Source organism: Homo sapiens, chromosome 7, assembly GCF_000001405.40.
Source record: "Homo sapiens chromosome 7, GRCh38.p14 Primary Assembly".
In the NCBI taxonomy this organism is placed as follows: domain Eukaryota; kingdom Metazoa; phylum Chordata; class Mammalia; order Primates; family Hominidae; genus Homo; species Homo sapiens.
Window position 1 is genome coordinate 140,596,947 of NC_000007.14, and position 17,872 is coordinate 140,614,818.

The window sequence follows — 17,872 nt, forward strand, 5'->3', positions numbered from 1 at the left end:
ATCTTTGGAATTTCCTGACATTTGAGGGTTTCTCATTTTCCATTTTAGGATTGAAGGCCTAAGTCCTTGCATTTAATTTCCTGGGGCTTTAAAGAAATGAAGAAAGAAAAGAGAAGACAGCAAATAGAGAGGGAGAGAGAAAAGGAGGGAAAAGGAAGGAAAGAGAAGAGGAGAAAAGAAAAAAGAAGAGAGAGAAACAGGAAGAGAAAAAGAAAAATACGCTTTCTTAAACCGAGGATCTGAATCCGCTGGTTTTGCTCTTAAGGAGGTGAAATAATTGGCCTATGAAAATAAGCTGAATACATTCTCTAAGGCACACACAGCCTGGCCATGAAATTTGAAACCCTCATAACCTCTAAATCCTTAATCATTTCTTTCTTCAACCTTGGTTTGGCTTTCCTCCCTCAAAGAGGGTGGTGCGTCTGCCAAATTCGTGGTACAGTCCTTTTTGTTTTTAAGAGATAGGACCACAATAAAGAGCATACTTTATTTTTTTAAGAGTAGAAAGTGAATATCTTGCCCTAATCACCTCCATTGTACTATTTTAAACAAAATGAAAAACCCAAAGTCAAAATTGTTAAAACACAGCTGATGAAACCATATTCAAACTGGCCAAGAAAAATTTCATCTTTGGACTGAAATAAGTAACTTTAGCTGTTTATAAAGAAAACACTGGAAGACTGAAAAGCGCAGATGATAGTTAAGAGAGAAAAGATAATGGGAATAACTGTTCCCCAGGTTGACTCGCCTGCCCAGTGATGACACAGATGAAGGATTCCAGTTTCCCAGAATCAACCTGTCCCTGGGGGTGTGGGACCTCCTTGGAGGAAGAGCCAGAAGGGGCGTGGAAGGGCTGCTGTGGGAAGCACTGGGCAGGGGCAGGGAAGTCATGGGAGTGCTCGGGGACCCGGGCTTTGGCACTGGCTGGAGAAAGGATTTATTATTGGAGATGGATTCAGATTTTCTCAGAACATAAAGAAGGAAGCATCTAAGTTCTTCTCCAGACCTCAAGTAACACTGAAACTCAAACCTAGTAAAGATAGTGCAATCATCCTGTATGTATTCTGCAAAAAAAAGATAGTGCAATAAAACCCAAGTCTAGACCAGTCTAATTTATTTACTGATACAAAAATCTTAAAATATTAGCAAATAAAATTCAGTAGTACATTAAAAGAATAATAAACCAGGCCCGAATGGGAATTCATCCCCCACATTTAAGGATGGGTTAATATTAAAATATAAATTCAATATGAATGGATCAGAGCAGAAGAATCATATGATCATCAGGAGTTTCTGAAAAGTACTTTAACAAAAATCTAATCTCTAGTCCTAATTTTTAAAACTCTAAGTGAAAAAATAAATATAAATGGACACTAACTTGATAACATAAAAACATATCTCAAATAAGAGTGCCTGTGAGTGAAACTCTAGATGCGTTACCATTAAAGTTAGGGGCGAAGTAAGACTGTACGCTGCTTTCAGCACTACGATTTAACACTGTTCGGAAGTCTCAGCCAGTGCAATTTGGTAAGAGAATTAGGTATAAATTAAAAAGAAAAGGTAAAATGATGATTCTTTGTAGACAATATGGTTATATTCATAGTTTCTATGAATCAACTAACAGACTATTAGAAATAATAAGAAATTTAAGATGTCTTAAAAAATACACATATATATACACACAAACACACACAAAATAAGAGTTTTCTTAAATACAAAGACCATATGAGAAAAAAGACATTAACCATTGCATTAAAAAGAGAAAAGACTTAGAAATAAATGTAGCAAATACATAGCATGTCAAATAATTATATATTAATTACAAAAACCCCCACATATTTTATGTATGTGAAATTTGATAGTAATATTTAGAACATTCAGAAAAATACAGGCAGAAACACTCAAGACATTTTTGGAAAAGGTGAATAATAAGTAAATAAACAAACAAGAGGTTTATAATTACTAAAAAGGAGAGAGACAAAGTGATTATTATTTTTTTTTGCATATGACATGATGTTATATATAGGAAGTCCAAGAGGATCAACTGACTAATTATTAGCAACATTAAGAACTTTCTATAAGCTCTACTAGATATTAAAATACATTATGGTCTGGGTGTGGGGCTCATGCCTGTAATCCCAGCAGTTTGGGAGGCCAAGGCAGGCAGATCACTTGAGGTCAGGGGTTCGAGACCAGCCTGGCCAACATGGTGAAACCCTGTCTCTACTAAAAATACAAAAAATTAGCCAGGCGTGGTGGCGTGCGCCTGTAATCTCAGCTATTTGGGATGCTGAGGCAGGAGAATTGCTGGAACCCAGGAGGTGGAGGATGCAGTGAGCTGATATTGTGCCACCACACTCCAGCCTGGGCGATACTCTGTCTCGAAAAAAAAATAATAATAATAATACATTATGAAGTTAAAATAATAGTTTGGTACTGAAAAAAAAATAGCCTGATTAATTAAACAGAATGGAGCCAGAGAAAAATAAAACACTTCACACATATTGAACAGGCTCTGTACTAAGTTTATGTTATACATGTTAACTCATTCAATCTTCACAACAACTCTGTGAAGTGGTTACTATAATATAATTATCACCATTTTACAGATAGGTAAAATGAGGCCAACACAATTTAGTTGCTTGTCCAATGTCCCACAGCTAGTAAGTAGCAAAACTAGTAATGCTATATGCTCCTTATCACAGCATTATTTGTAAACTGGGAATAACTTATATATATTTACATATATATATACAAATATATGTAAATAAATTCTAGAATATGCAAACTTTTTCCCCCTTGAAGAGAACACAAGAAATTATGCTATTATGCTATTTACAGAGAAAGTGGGGAAAAAAAAGAAATTATGCTATTTACAGCCAAAAGAATCATCCTACATGACAGACCATGCTGAGTGGGGGGTGACAGGATTTAATTTATAGTTTATATTTTTAGAAGACTCCTCTGGCTGCTGAGGGAGGAATGTTCTACGGATGGGAAGTGAATCCAAGATGATTAAGATGGTAGCAGTGGAGGAGATGTAGGCAGATTTGGGATAAAGTTTTGAAACTAGAACCAAAGGACCTGGTGATGAATTAGGAAGGGGTATATGAAAAAGAGAGGAATTGGAGATGACTTTTTAGGTTTGTGGCCTAAGCAACTAAACAAACGGTGATGCCATTTAGAAGGATGACAATTATTTTAGGAGGTGGTTACTGGTGGCCTGGATGGAGAACTTGGGTTTGGACACGTTAAGTATAAATGATAAGACAACCAAATGGAGATCCAAGCAGGAGATGACTACACAAACCTTAAGCTGGGGGAGGGAGTTGGGGCTGAATGCCTCAATTTGGGAATCATAAGCATGACATTGACATTTAAAGCCATGGGACTGGATGAGATCATTTAGGGAGTGAGTGTAGATGGAGAAGAAAAGTCTCAGGTCTGGCCCTGGGTTGAGGTGGGGATAGGTTCGGGGTGTGCTCTGACAGATAGAAGGAAAAAAGAATGGAACTCAAAGGAGCCAGAGAAGCAGGACTTCCAGGGACATGGGTGACCCAGAAGCCAAATGAAGGAAGTGTTTCAAGATGGAGCAAGTCAACAGGTGTTCCTCGAATACTGAGAGGGGCCAATTAAGAAAAAAACAAAGAACTGGCAATTGGATTTAGCAAGATGGAGGTTACTGGTGGCCTCGGGACAGGGTAGTTTCAGGAGGAGGTTCCCAAAGCTCAATGGGGTGGGTCAAGAGAAAATAGGAGGTGAAATGATGAAAGGGAGTACAACAACTGTTCTGAGGAGTTTTGCTCTAAAGCTGGTTTCTAGATTAGTGGGTATCAAACCAACTAGCATGTTACAGAAATGGACTAGAGATTAAGTTGCAAAATAGAAAAATTGTTTTCGAAGCACAGATTTTATTTTTAAGCATTAACATGCTTTATTATTTAATGTGTTATTTTAACGTTATAAAATATTCACAGTGCGTGCATCCATATGTATAAATGAGGAAACTGAGGCTTCGAGAGGTTAGATAACTTGTTTAAGGTCACATAGATAGACACTGATAGGGCCAGTGTATTTCTAAAGCCCACACCAAGAAAAATTCAAGCACTGGTAGTTAGCAGGGACTACCAAGTTGTAGACTGCCAGGGTTAACATAAGTCCTTCATTTAACTCTTGGTTACTGTCCCAATTCCAAGTCCTTATTACATCTAAAGGGTAATTTTTAAAAGCACATACTCTTCTTTTTTGAGGACTGAGAACAAACACAAAATACATGCATCAGTTACCAAGTTTCCAGGTTAATTAACAAAGTATCTTAAGCTATGAACCATCTGGACTACAAGATCCATCAGTTTAATAAAACAAATAATTCAGCTGAGAACAGACGGTTATGATGGGACACAAACCACTGAGAGAGTCAGGTGGCGACACTCTGCCTGGCCACACCGGCACCTACCTGTGGTCTGCACTGGATTTCTGTCTCCCGGTCCACAGTCTTCTGTTCACAGAGGAAGGTGGGGGAGAGGAGGGCAGAGGCGGGGGAGGTAGAGAGGGCAGAGGAGGCAGATTTCTTTTCTCTTTCCTGAAGCCGATGCCAGGCTTCCCATCTTTGTCCCCTTCTCCGGCATGTTTGAACGTTCTCCGGGGTTTTGGCAGAGGGTTGATGAAGGGCTTTGTGGGGGAACCCTCCGAGCCCCTATACACGTTCTCAAGGCTCCGGTCCCAGGGCCTTCTGCATGAACCTTTCCTGTCCTCCACAAGCTCAGGGGTGGGCTCCCTGCCTTCCAGGTCCGAGGGGTGGACCCTCTGGCTGACTTCTGAGCCACTCCCGCCTCCCAGGTTCTCAGGAAGGGTGGACCCTGCCTCTGCCTTGTCAGGAGGGCAGTGTGGGGAGTAACAAGTCCCTGGTAACTGGGGATCCAGCCCTGCCGACCCATCCTTCAAAGCCTGCTCGAGTTTCTTGACCTGCTTCAGCACGGAGAGGGGATCGTTCTGAAAGCGTAGCTTGCCAAGTCTTGGCTCTCGGCCTCGGCCCCAGCTAGGATCCACTTCCCGTTCTGGCTGGCTTAGGTCTTGCCCCGGCTCTGGGTCCTGTCCCCCGACGTTCACTGCTCCTTTATTCCTCTCCTTCTCTGTGCTCTCTGTTCCTGGCCTCATTCCATTCTTAGCCTCTGTGACCTGAGTTCTCACCCCATCACTACTCCTCCTCTCCACCGTAGAGGACGGCAGATAATCCTCCTGTCCGTCTGCTCTCCTGCTGGGTGCAGGAGTGGGCACCTCTTTCTTCCCTTCCCATTCTGATATCTTGTCCTTTATGTTGAGGGACTTGTGCCGGGGTCTGGCTCTGGCAGATGGGCAAGGGTTCTGAACACCTCTGAGCTGCTTCTTCCCAGCCCTGCTGGCTTCTGCAGCTGGGTCACTGATGATCATATCCAAGCTGAACATATCCATTCTTGACTCTAGCGTGAGGTTGTGGAGGCCTTCCAGGGGACTCCTTCTGAAGCCTGACTCCTGATCAGTCTCTAGGAATGGAATGGAGGACTAAAGTGGATGCCTTCGAGGGTCTTTCTCAGTCCTTGGACCTTCCACCTTGACCCTGCACAAGAAAGACAAACACCAGGTGAGTGATTCTTATTGTTCTTGGCTGGTCATAGAGATTTGCTAGAACTTAGATATAAATGTTATATGCAAGTCACAAACCACAAACATTGAAATTCCTATTAAAAAAAAAAATTCACTTTGTGGGCAGGGTGCAGTGGCTCATGCCTGTAATCCCAGCACTTTGGGAGGCTGAGGTGGGAGGATCACTTGAGGCCAGGAGTTCAAAACCAGCCTGGGCAACATAACAAGACCCCCATCTCTACAAAAATTTTTTTTAAAAACTCAATTTGTGTTTTCCTTGGGGAGACAGCATGGTGAAATGAAGGAGCAATCGGGTTTAGGAGTCAGATAGGCTTGGGTTTAAATCCTAATTCAGTCACGTGACCTTAGGCAAGTTGTTTAAGTCCTCTAAACCTCAGTTTCCACCTCTGTAAAATGAAGATCATAATAATATGGGCCAGGCATTGTGGCTCACACCTGTAATCCCAGCACTTTGGGAGGCCGAGGCGGGTGGATCACGAGGTCAGGAGTTTGAGACCAGCCTGGCTAACATGGTGAAACCCCGTCTGTACTAAAAATACAAAGATTAGCGGGGTGTGGTGGCAGGCCCTGTAATCCCAGCTACTCACTCAAGAGATTGAGGCAGGAGAATTGCTGGAACCCGGGAGGCAGAGATTGCAGTAAACTTAGATTGCACCACTGCACTCCAGCCTGGGCAACAGAGAGAGACTCTGTCTCAAAAATAAAAATAAAAATAAAATAGGAGTAATTTCACGAGGTAAAAGATTACATAGGCTGCTTTTCCTGCTTTTCTTATCCACAGGCAGTTCTTTGCAATGACTATTTAAAAACTAAAACAACATCACAAGTCATGAAGTTTGTGCTACCCCTGAACTTGACAAATTGTCTGATTCAAGTGGGCAAAGCCACAATGATTGGATGCATCTGAACAGAACCTCCTCTGGAATGGGGCCTCACTAGAGTGAGCTCTTCATGAGCCTTGCCACCAGGGCAGGGATTATTCTGTTATTTTGGCCTGTTGTAGCCAAGTCTGCACCCCTAGCACCCAAAACAATACCTGGGAGAGTTGGTGGTCAATAAATATCTGGTGCATGAATGAATGCGTGAATAAAGAGGCAGATTCAGATTTCACACTTGGCTTAGAAATGCACTATCTAATAGAGTAGCCACCAGCCACACGTGACTATTTAACCTTAAATCCAATGAAATTCAAGCTTCAGTTCCTCAGTTACACCTGCCACATGTCAAGGACTCAGAAGCGCCATGTGGCTGATGGCTACCGTACTGGATGGGGAAGAAGAATATTTCCATCACTGAATAAAGTTTTGGCCTAGAACATATATGTAATGATACATGCTTCCAAATGTAATTTTAGATTAGATAATGCCATGAAGATATTAGAAATTATTTTGAAGGAAAAACATTTTTAAATTAGTCTAACAAGAATGAGAGTATCTGTGTTGTCCAATGCAAACATTATTCCACCAGCAAAGGTTATGACTGAGTACAGTGACTTTGGATGTGCCGACATTAGCTAACACCTCACGGTGCCCATTTTCTGAATGTATAGATCTGACCGCATGGAAATTCTGAAACTCCAGTTAAGGTTCACCGTGAGGGATGAATAAGTAGCAATTTCATGCATCCTGTTACTATTTAGCTTTCTATTCCCAAGGTTGTTTGTGTAAAGACCTCTTCCTCAGTGGAGACATTAGCACATAAATTACGCCACTGTTCTTGGTTGCATGGCATAAAATAGAAACTTGCGAAAACGCAAACACATTTTTTTGGCAAACACATTTTCCTATTTTAAATATGGCTATCAAGGCAGAATTCCTTATTTAAATAAACAATTAGGATTCCTAACAGTGTGTTTACAAAGAGAAAATATTTTTAAATTGTTCCATCACCACTGGAGATATTAGCATGAATTAAGATTTTAGTCAGAATCAGTTTGTTATCTCACTGAGGGTTCAAAAGGCAGAAGTGATGGTCCTTGCTCTCACAGTGCTAGAGGCAAGATGAAGAGAGAGGACAGACACACACATTAAAAACACAACAATCCAGGTTAGTGTCTGCATGGTGATGACTGATGGTCTACAACGTGGTTATTAATGTCCTATATGCTGTGAGGCACTATGGCCTAGGAGCTAAATACATGGGCTTTGGAAATGAGGGACTTGAGACTTGAATCCTGAGTTTTTCATCTTCCTTCTGTAGACTGAAACTCTATGAGTCAGAGGCCACATTTATATTGTTTACTGTGCCTGGTGCATAGCAGCTAGTCAACAAATATTTATTCAATGAATGAATGAATTCATGAGTTAACATGTAATGTGCTCAAAGTACAGCATACTTTCTAAATCTTGGTATCAACAAATGGTAACTAGTGTTATTGTAAGTATCATAGTTATTGTCTAAGAGCCCAAACACATGGAGTGACTTCACAACTATGGAAGCTCTGTCGGAAAACTTGAGAGGAACAAAGGATGGCTTGCTGAAAACTCACACTGGATTTACAAAACTCACGCAACAGAGGCAAGGATGCCGCAACTGTCCTACGAGTCCCCAAGGACAGAGTTCCTGCTCCATGTGGTTGCCAGCCCAAGAGTTTCTAGAGTTCCTGTTTCCAGGATTCTCCCGCCCCATAAGGGGTTCCAGACTGGGGTGCAGAGCTAAGAACCCCTCAGTGGCTGCCAACTGCTTTGTGGAATGTGAGAGGATCAGAGAAAGGGCTCCATCTGGGGAGAAGGAAACAATCACGCTGGTATTAGATGGGAAAACTGACTGTGTACAGGTACAGCTGCAAAGACTTAGGGCTCAAACATAAGTAAAATACCTGAACATCCTAGTAGTTAGAAAAATAAACCCAGAATTGGAATGCGTCATGGGGATAGGGCTAAAGTTACCAAGGGATCATCCTCTCCTCACACTGGCCATTAGTCAGACTCTCTCGATCAGTTTGGCCTGAAGCCTTAAATGAATGCAGTGCATGGAGGCGGTCTGCAGGAGGCTCATTAGAATGACCTGGAAAAGAGCTCCTTAGCTCAAGGAAGTAGGATCAGTGAAGAAGGAGGTGGTAGGAGAGTAAGAAGCTGGGTCAGCGTCTACACTCTCGGGGGAGAAGTGTTCTTACTTGTCAGCCAATTTGTAGCTCAGGTTTTCAGTCTGGCTGTGGCTGCCCTTGGCCGGCCTGCACACTGTCATCATGTCAGTACCGAGGGGAGTTCCAGGTCACCTGGGGGGACAGGGATGCACACCCAGTGAGCCATGACAGCAGGGCCTCCCTCAGAGGGGAGCAAATCTAGGGCCCACACTCCAAACTATTTATTCCTGATAGATTCCACCCAGGAGCAGGGGGTGGAAAGAACACACAATTCAGAATCCCAGGCCTAGCAAGTAAAGTGGGGGTGCAATCCCGATGTCCGCCCGGATTCAGAACTCATGCCAACCTCTTTGTATATATCTTTTTTGTTCATTTGTTTTTTTTGAGACAGGGTCTGGTTCTGTTGCCCAGGCTGGAATGCAGTGGCATGCTCTTGGCTCACCGCAACCTGCGCCTCCTGGGCTCAAGTGATTCTCGTGCCTCAGCCTCCCCAGTAGCTGGGATTACAGGTGTGCACCACCACCCCGGCTAATGTTTGTATTTTTAGTAGAGACGGTTTTTCACCTTGTTGGCCAGGCTGGTCTTGAACTCCTGGCCTCAAGTGATCTGCCTGCCTTGGCCTTCCTAAGTGCTGGGATTACCGGAGTGAGCCACTGTGCCTGGCCCTCTTTGCATATATCTTTTAGCTAAGGTCACCAAAAATTTTAAGAAAACATACAAACTTAGAAAGCAAAACATAAATAACAACGAGACCCAGTGCTTTTTTAGGGTCTCTAAGAACCACTGTGATGAGCTAATAGTCCCCAAAGAAGAAAGTAGTTGCCCTTTTATTTGACACAAGACATAAACCACACACCAAAGTGGAACTGTCTTCACAGGGATACTCTACCCTTCTGCGAACCCTGACACTGGGAGTTTAAACCCACACTGCCCTTGTCTGCAGAGCACCCCATGGGGAGCCCCTCCCAGCTCCTCCAAACTGAGGAGGAAGAAACAGCCAGTCACGAGGTCATCTGTCTGGTCTAAGGAACACCAGGAGATGGTCTTGGCAAACCCAGGAATCCCACTGAGTTCCTTAAACCCCCCAAATAGCAAGGCCTGTGTGGATACCAAGGCAGCAGCCTCAGCTCAGAAGTAGCAGTTGAAGACTCTGGTGCCTGGCCCCCATATAAACTGAAGTAACTGATTAAACTTCATTGCTTCATAGCAAGTCCTTCCAGAACTCTTTGGGAAGAAGTGTCTCCCAACATGAGCATAAATGGACATGGCTCAGGTGAAGGTGCTGACAAGATGGGGCCCATCAGAGAAGGCCAACAGGATGGGCCACGCAGTTCTTCTGTAAGGCATGAACACCAGCTGGTCTTCCCTAGTGGAGAGGAGCCACCTCCTTGACTAGAGCTCAAGGCATATCAAGATACTGGGTATTTACGTTACGTTTCCAGGGAAGCCCTCTCCCAACTCCTTCTTCAGTTTCCAGGATTCCTACCCTATTTCCCAGGATGGTTTCCCTGCTAGGTGATGGGATGGCTGCCTGATGTCCTGGCCTGGGCATCCTCTCCCTCCCGAGTAATCAAAGGGCAGAACTTCAAGACATGCAGATAGCTCTTGGGAACAAGGAGAGGAAGGGAGGAAGTCCAGAGAGAAAGAGAAAAAGAAAAGGAGAGTGCACATGGGTAACAAATGAACAAGAGGGAGGCTGGGGAACCATGAGCTGGGGGAGCAAGGAAGGGAACAGACACATCTGCCAACTGTGTGTGTGTGGGTGGACAGGAGCATGGAGCTCTGGCCTGTCCATGGAGTTCAGCTGTTCCCCTATCCAGCAACTCAGCACCAGACATTGTGGGGCTTATCTATGTTGTAACTGAGCCTACTTCTTTAAAGAAGCCAGGCCCCAGGGCTTGCCCATCCCGTCATGCAGGGTAGCCCTGAAAGGCCTTTCAGGGACAGGAAGGAACTCATTTTCCCTCTCACAAAGCTCTGCAGAGCTGAAAGCTTCTGGAGTCCCTCCACTTGGCTGGGCCCACAGACACTACTCTTCTGTCCGGCATCTGGCAGAGGGCCCCAGTGGACGTCAGGGAGAACAGCCCCTCCCCACCACCGCCACCACCCTCCACACAGACCAAACCCACAAGAATCCAACCTTGTTCCATATGAGCCAGCAGCTCTCTTCCAAGCTGGCTTCCCCTTTCACTGGCACTAGGACAAGGTGCCAGGCTGTGTGCAGGATGCACCGAAGGACTCAAAGATGAGTAAGAGTCTCTGCCGTCATCGAGAGCACCAGGGCTGTGCCTGGGTCACAATCAATCCTGTAACTCCCCCCATGCCCTCAAGAAAACAGTTTCCCTATAGTTCTCAGGAAGTACAGCTTTTCCAAAAGGAAAAAAGGCCACTGTGTCGAATGCACAGAGATGGATGTATGAACTTGGAGGTCAAAGATCACAAAAAGCACTTAAATGACATGATACTTAAGTGAACTCACTTCCCATCAGGGAGTAATAACTTCCAGCATGAAAACCATGATCTCCAGAGAAATGGCTGATGCCATATACTGAGAAGCAAGTGCAGGGGGCTTCAGAGGCTGGCACTGAGGGGGCATAGAACCCCCCTGAACACTCAGCAATCAGTCCACCAGCATTTCTGAATTCACAAAGATATTAAAAATGCTGCTGTAAAAAACTGACCTTTCCCTTTTTGTCTCTGATGATTAGCAGTTGTTAACTGGCTGGGCATGGTAGCTCACACCTGTAATTCCAGCACTTTTGGAGGCCGGGGTGGGCTGATCACTTGAGCTCAGGGGATTGAAACCAGCCTGGGCAACATGGCAAAACATCGTCTCTACAAAAATACAAAAATTAACCGGGTGTGCTGGTGCATGCCTGCAGTCCCAGCTACTCGGGAGGCTGAGGTGTGAGGATTGCTTGAGCCCAGCAGATGGAGGTTGCAGTGAGCTGAGACTGAACCACTGCACTCCAGCCCAGGTGACACAGTGAGACTCTGTCTTAAAAAAAAAAAAAAAAATCATTAATTAAGTAACGAACCCAGCCGAATTTGCTAGTTGGGAGTGCTCTGTGACTTAAATTACCATGATAAACTTCATTATCACTTTATAGTCTGGGATTGTGAGATAGAACCATTTTCCAAAGTGTGGTCCATGGGGGATCAGTTCCAGTCAACCTGGGGACCCTGTCAGACATGCAGATTCCTGGGCACCTCTTCGATGTACCAAGACGTACCAAAGCCAACAGTCTGAGGGCTGCTCTGGAATCTGCATTTAAATATGGTAAATCAAAGGTCGCAGAGGCCAATGTCCTGGCATGGGCATCTCTTGCTCGCAAGAAATCAAAGGGCTGGGCTTCATGACAGCTTGAGTTTTTACACAACCCAAGGTTCCTTATTTCTTTTTAGACAATTTGGTCTTGTGATCCAAGTAGACTATATTCCAAGAGAGATAATGGTATGATTGATAGTAATAACACATTTTCCCACTCAACTGCTTTCCATAAAAATAGAACTTCCCATTAACCAGATGGGCTATTACTAATAATTTTAATTAACTGGCTGGGCATGGTGGCTCATGCCTATAATCCCAGCACTTTGGGAGGCCAAGGCGGGCGGATCTCTTGAGGTCAGGAGTTTGAGACCAGCCTGGCCAACATGGGGAAACCCTGTCTCTACTAAAAATACAAAAATTAGGTGGGCGTGGTGGTGGGCGCTTATAATCCCAGCTACTCGGGAGGCTGAGGCAGAAGAATCGCTTGAACCCAGGAGGCGGAAGTTGCAGTAAGCCGAGATCGCCCCACTGTACTCCAGCCTGGGCAACAGAGTGAGACTCTTTTTTGAGAGTCTGTCTCAAAACAAACAAAAAAAATTAATTAGACTAAAAAGTCCTACAAAATTTTGAAGGTAGCTGATGAGTACACAAGAGTTCATATATTTTTTGTAGGCTTGAACATTTCTGTAAGTTTCAGAAACTAAGTCCTATAAGTTGAAGAAAAATATTTTTAAAATTCTAACATCTATAGCTGATTATGTTTATCAACCCAGTCCATAATCTAACCCTGTTGTTCTTCTTGCTGAAGTGAATACTGTAAAATCTTTTCTTGGCTCAAGAATTTTCTTTGGGCATTGACATCATGTTGACTGGAGGGTTCAGAAGTTAAGAAGCTGGGTGGGACTGGTCTGAAGGCAGTGAGTCAACTGAATTGATTATTCACAGTCAGTTACGCATCCAACTCTTTATTCTACTCTTCCCCCCTTCTCACTACTGCATTTGACACTTGTGGGTTTTTTTCAATTACTCTTTTTTTTGGAGACAGGGTCTCGCCCTGTCACCCAGGCTGGAGTACAGTGGTGTGATGATGGCTCACTGCAGCTTCAACCTGCTGGGCTTAAGCGATCCTCCCGCCTCAGCCTCCTGAGTAGCTGGGACTACAGGCATGCACCACCACATGTGGCTAATTAAAAAAAATTTTTTTTAGTAGAGATGGGGTTTCACTATGTCACCTAGGCTGGTCTTGAACTCCTGAGCTCAAGCAATCCTCCCACCTTGGCCTCCCAAAGTATTAGGATTACAGACATGAGCCACTGTGCCCAGCCTCACTTAACTAGTCTTAAGGAAAAAAAAAAAAAAAAAAGCCAGATGGGAGAGTCTCCCTCAATTTTTAATCCTGTTGGGTACTGCGGTCTACTCTCTTGGCCAGCTGATGCTGAGAGATCCTCTTACTCCCAATTACGTCTGTGAATTACCCTTAATTTTGAGAGAGAGAGAGATCAAGAGATCTCATAGTGAGATGCTTCTGATCAGCCTCAAAAGCCCAGACAACTTAATTGCTCCAGACTGACATTGCTAGATTTTATATATATATATGTATATAATTTTACAGTTCCTTCCAGGCTTATCTCTGAACACACTGTTTTTTGTTTTTTAAAGGGGCTTAGAATTCTAAAATGTCAAGTCATTAATTACACAACAAATAGCTCTCAGAAAAAAGGTCAAGAATTTAAAACAGATATAAAGTGTTTTCCCACAAGTAGGAAGAGGAAATAAACAAGATCAGGTCCCAAGGGCAGTTCTCACAGGAGCGGCTGTGGACCTGTGGCATTTGGAGGAGGACCAAGAGAAGCGGGCTATGCCTGAGGGGAGAGGAGCGGAGCCCTCAGGAGGACCCGGCAGCTCCTTTAGAATCCTGCTGGGCCTGCCCCATTGCTGTCTTTCTTCTGCTGCCATTTTTGGAATCCAGCAAAGGCAATCTGGAAACACCAGCCTGGTGAAGCCAGCACAGCCTTAAGGGCTAGGAGCCCAGCAAGACATCAACTAGTGGCCTGAGGCCTGGCCTCTCGGACCGCTGCTTCTGATAACAGAGCACTGTTATTATTATTATTATTTTTTGAGACGAGTTTCACTCCTGTTGCCCAGGCTGGAGTGCAATGGCATGATCTCGGCTCACCGCCACTCCACCTCCCAGGTTCAAGCGATTCTGCCTCAGCCTCCCAAGTAGCTGGGATTACAGGCATGCGCCACCACAACTGGCCTCTCTTTAAATCTTAAAGCAAGAAGTGATTTAAATATAAAATGGGCTGGGTACAGTGGCCCACACCTGTAATCTCAGCACTTTGGGAGGCTGAGGCAGGAAGATGACTTGAGCCCAGGAGTTCAATACCAGCCTAGGCAACATTGCAAGAACCCATCTCTACAAAAAATAAAAAATAAAAAAATTGGCCAGGTGTGGTGGTGCACATCTGTAGCCCCAGCTACGCAGGAGGCTTAGGGGGAGGATCATTTGAGCCTGGGAGGTTGAGGCTGCAGCGAGCCTTGATTGCATCACTGCACTCCAGCCTACACAACAGAGCGAGACCCTGTCTCAAAATAAATAAATACATAAATATAAAATGAAATGTGGAAGCGTTGGTCAATTGATGGATTTTAAAAAGTGGTCTATCTGTACAATGGAATTCAGTCACATAAAGGAATGAAGCACTGTTACATGCTACAACATTGGTGAACTAAAGAAACCTACTACATGAAGGAAGCCAGACACAAAAGGCCACATATTGTATGATTCCATTTATATAAAATGTCCAGAGCGGGCAAATTCACAGAGACGGATGGTAGATTAGTGATTGCCAGGGGTAGAGAAGGGAGAAATTGTTCCTCGTTGCTATTAATAGGTGAGGGTTTCTTTGGAATGATAGAAATGTCCTAAAATTTCATAGCGGTGATAGTTGCACAATGCGGTGAATACACCACAAGCCACTGAACTGTACAGTTTAAGATGGTGAATGTTGGCTGAGTGCGGTGGCTCACGTCTGTAATTCCAGCACTTTGGGAGGCAGAGGCAGGTGGATCACCTGAGGTCTGGAGTTCGAGACCAGCCTGACCAAATGGTGAAACCCCGTCTCTACTAAAAATACAAAAAATTAGCTGGGTGTTGTGGCACATGCCTGTAATCCCAGCTACTTGGGAAGCTGAGGCAAGATAATCGCTTGAACCTGGGAGGCGGAGATTGCCATGAGCCAAGATTGCCCCATCGCACTCCAGCCTGGATGACAGAGCGAAACTCCGTCTCAAGAAAAAAAAGGAAAAAAAAAAAAGATGGTGAATGTTATGTGCATTCTATCTCAGTGGAAATAAATTATGTAAGTACAGTGTATATTCCGTGAAAAAAATAAGATATATGCGCAGGGGAAGAGGTGGAGTGAGGAATAAAATCCACACAATTATAATTTCCAGTGCCCTTTACTGATCTAAACTTGATTATGTTAGCTCTGAAGCATAAGTAAATATGTATTATATATAACTTGACACCAAAAGGATCATATTTGTTATACTAATTTTTTTTTTTTTTGAGACAGAGTCTTACTCTGTTGCCCGATCTGGAGTGCAATGGTGCAATCTCAGCTCACTGCAACCTCCACCTCGCGGGTTCCAGCGATTCTCCTGCCTCAGCCTCCCAAGTTGCTGGAATTATGGTCATGTACCACCACACCTGGCTAATTTTTGTATTTTTGGTAGAGATAGGACTTCTCCATATTGGCCAGGCTGGTCTCGAACTCCTGATCTCAAGTGATCCGCCCACCTTGGCCTCCCAAAGTACTGGGATTACAGGCATGAGCCACTGCGTCCAGCCCTGTTACACTAAATTTAAAAATAAGGTTGAGGGCCGGGCGCAGTGGCTCACACCTGTAATCCCAGCACTTTGGGAGACTGAGGCGGGTGGATCACCTGAGGTCAGGAGTTCAAGACCACCCTTACTAACATGGAGAAACGCTGTCTCTACTAAAAATACAAAATTAGCCAGGCATGGTGGTGCATGCCTGTAATCCCAGCTACTTGGGAGGCTGAGGCAGGAGAATGGCTTGAACCCGGGAGGCGGAGGTTGCAGTGAGCCAAGATCAAGCCATTGCACTCCAGCCTGGGCAACAAGAGCGAAACTCTGTCTCAAGAAAAAAAAAAAGGTTTAGCTGAGTACAGTGATGCAAGCGTGTAGTCCCTGCTACTGGAGGAGCTGAAGCAGGAGGACTGCTTGAGACCAGGAGTTTGAGGCTGCAGTGAGCTATAATCGCACCTGTGAATAGCCACTGCAGGCTGAGTGCAGTGGCTCACGCCTGTAATCCTAGCACTTTGGGAGGCCAAGGCAGGCAGATCACTTGAGGTCAGGAGTTCAAGACCAGCCTGGCTAACATGGTGAAACCCCATCTCTACTAAAAATAGAAAAATTAGCCGAGCGTGGTGGTGTGCACCTGTAGTCCCAGCTACTTGGGAGGCTGAGGCAGGAGAATCACTTGAACCCAGGAGGCAGAGGTTGCAGCGAGCCGAGATCACACCCTTGCACTCAAGCCTGGGTAACAGAGTGAGACTCTGTCTCAAAAAAAAAAAAAAAGCTACTGCACTCTAGCCTGGGCAACACAGCAAGATCCCACCTCCTAAAAAATAGTTTAGGCTACTCTGCCTATGGGGTAGCCCTGCTTTGCCTATGGAGCAGCCACCCTTAAAATTAAAAAAAAAAAACAAACAAAAAACTACAGCTTAGATTGTGAAACAAAAATAAAATCTCAGGACCTCCAACTCACTATGCCAAAAGGAAAATAACAGCTTAGGAACTGAGTCACACACAAAAAAACTGCCTTCCTTTTGTTCCACGACAGCTGTAATTTCACATGCTAACTTTATCTGGTGTCAAATGCAGACCAACTGAGAGCTGGATGAATGCACTACTGACTTTTCCCCATTCCCTTCTTTTCCCATGGAAAATGTGGATTCACTGAGCACCAATCAGAGCCTCATCAGAATGTGACCACTTGCCTCATCACCTACCCTTCTCCCCTTTTTTCTTTTCCTCCTTCCCCTCCTGCTCACTGTTTCCCTTTTAAACACTGAAGTCCTCAAAGCCTCTTTGGAAAAAGCACAGGAGACACAGATCTTTTTTATTTTTTTATTTTTTATTTTTTTGAGACAGAATCACTCTGTCACCCAGGCTGGAGTGCAGTGGCACAATCTTGGCTCACTGCAGCCTCTACCTCCTGGGCTCAAGTGATTCTTGTAACTCAGCCTCCTGAGCAGCTGGAATTAACAGGCGTGCACCAAGACATCCAGCTAATTTTTGTATTTTTAGTAGAGATGGGGTTTTGCCACCTTGCCTAGGCTGGTCTCGAACTCCTGGCCTCAAGTGATCCACCTGCCTTGGCCTTCCAAAATGCTGGAATTACAGGTGTGAGCCACCGCACCTGGCCAGGAGACAGATCTTACTGTGACTTGTGTTTCTTTTTCCCAGGGGTATCCTCAACCTGGGCAAAATAAACCTCTAAATTAATTGAGCTGCCTCAGTCATTTTTTGGTTTACAGGATTGTAAATGATTACATATTCATAAAATTACATTTTAAATAGTTTTTGTGTTGCAAATAAGGCCATGGGCTATTCAGCTTTAATGATTCCAATATCTCTTAGTTTTATCAGCTTATGAAGAGCAGGCAAAAAATAGAGAAGAAACCACAACAATTACAGTAGAACAAAAATAGCTGTTTTCTTGTCTGAGCATTCTTAGCAAACATATCTAGAAGTTATTTGTTTCCAAAAACAACTTGAGAAATAAAAGCACACAATCAATGTAATACAACTCTTGCTATGTCTAACTACATAGTGCAGC

At 44.2% G+C, this 17,872-nt stretch overlaps 1 protein-coding gene across 5 annotated transcripts in view; it reads right to left on the reverse strand.

The window, feature by feature from the left end:
• Nucleotides 1–17,872, reverse strand: part of DENND2A (DENN domain containing 2A) — a 123,042-nt gene that overhangs the window by 78,528 nt on the left and 26,642 nt on the right. For 3 of the 5 annotated variants that reach the window (NM_015689.5, NM_001362678.2, NM_001318053.2), the window contains exons 2-3: nucleotides 8,759–8,860; nucleotides 4,457–5,596 (exon numbers count right to left, since the gene is read on the reverse strand). In NM_015689.5, coding sequence (NP_056504.3) covers nucleotides 4,457–5,451 — 995 coding nt within the window. In that variant the 5' untranslated portion in view covers nucleotides 5,452–5,596; nucleotides 8,759–8,860. Of the gene's footprint in view, nucleotides 1–4,456; nucleotides 5,597–8,758; nucleotides 8,861–17,872 lie in introns of those variants that run through there. The other 2 variants (NR_134477.1, NM_001318052.2) reach the window with 1 other exon arrangement.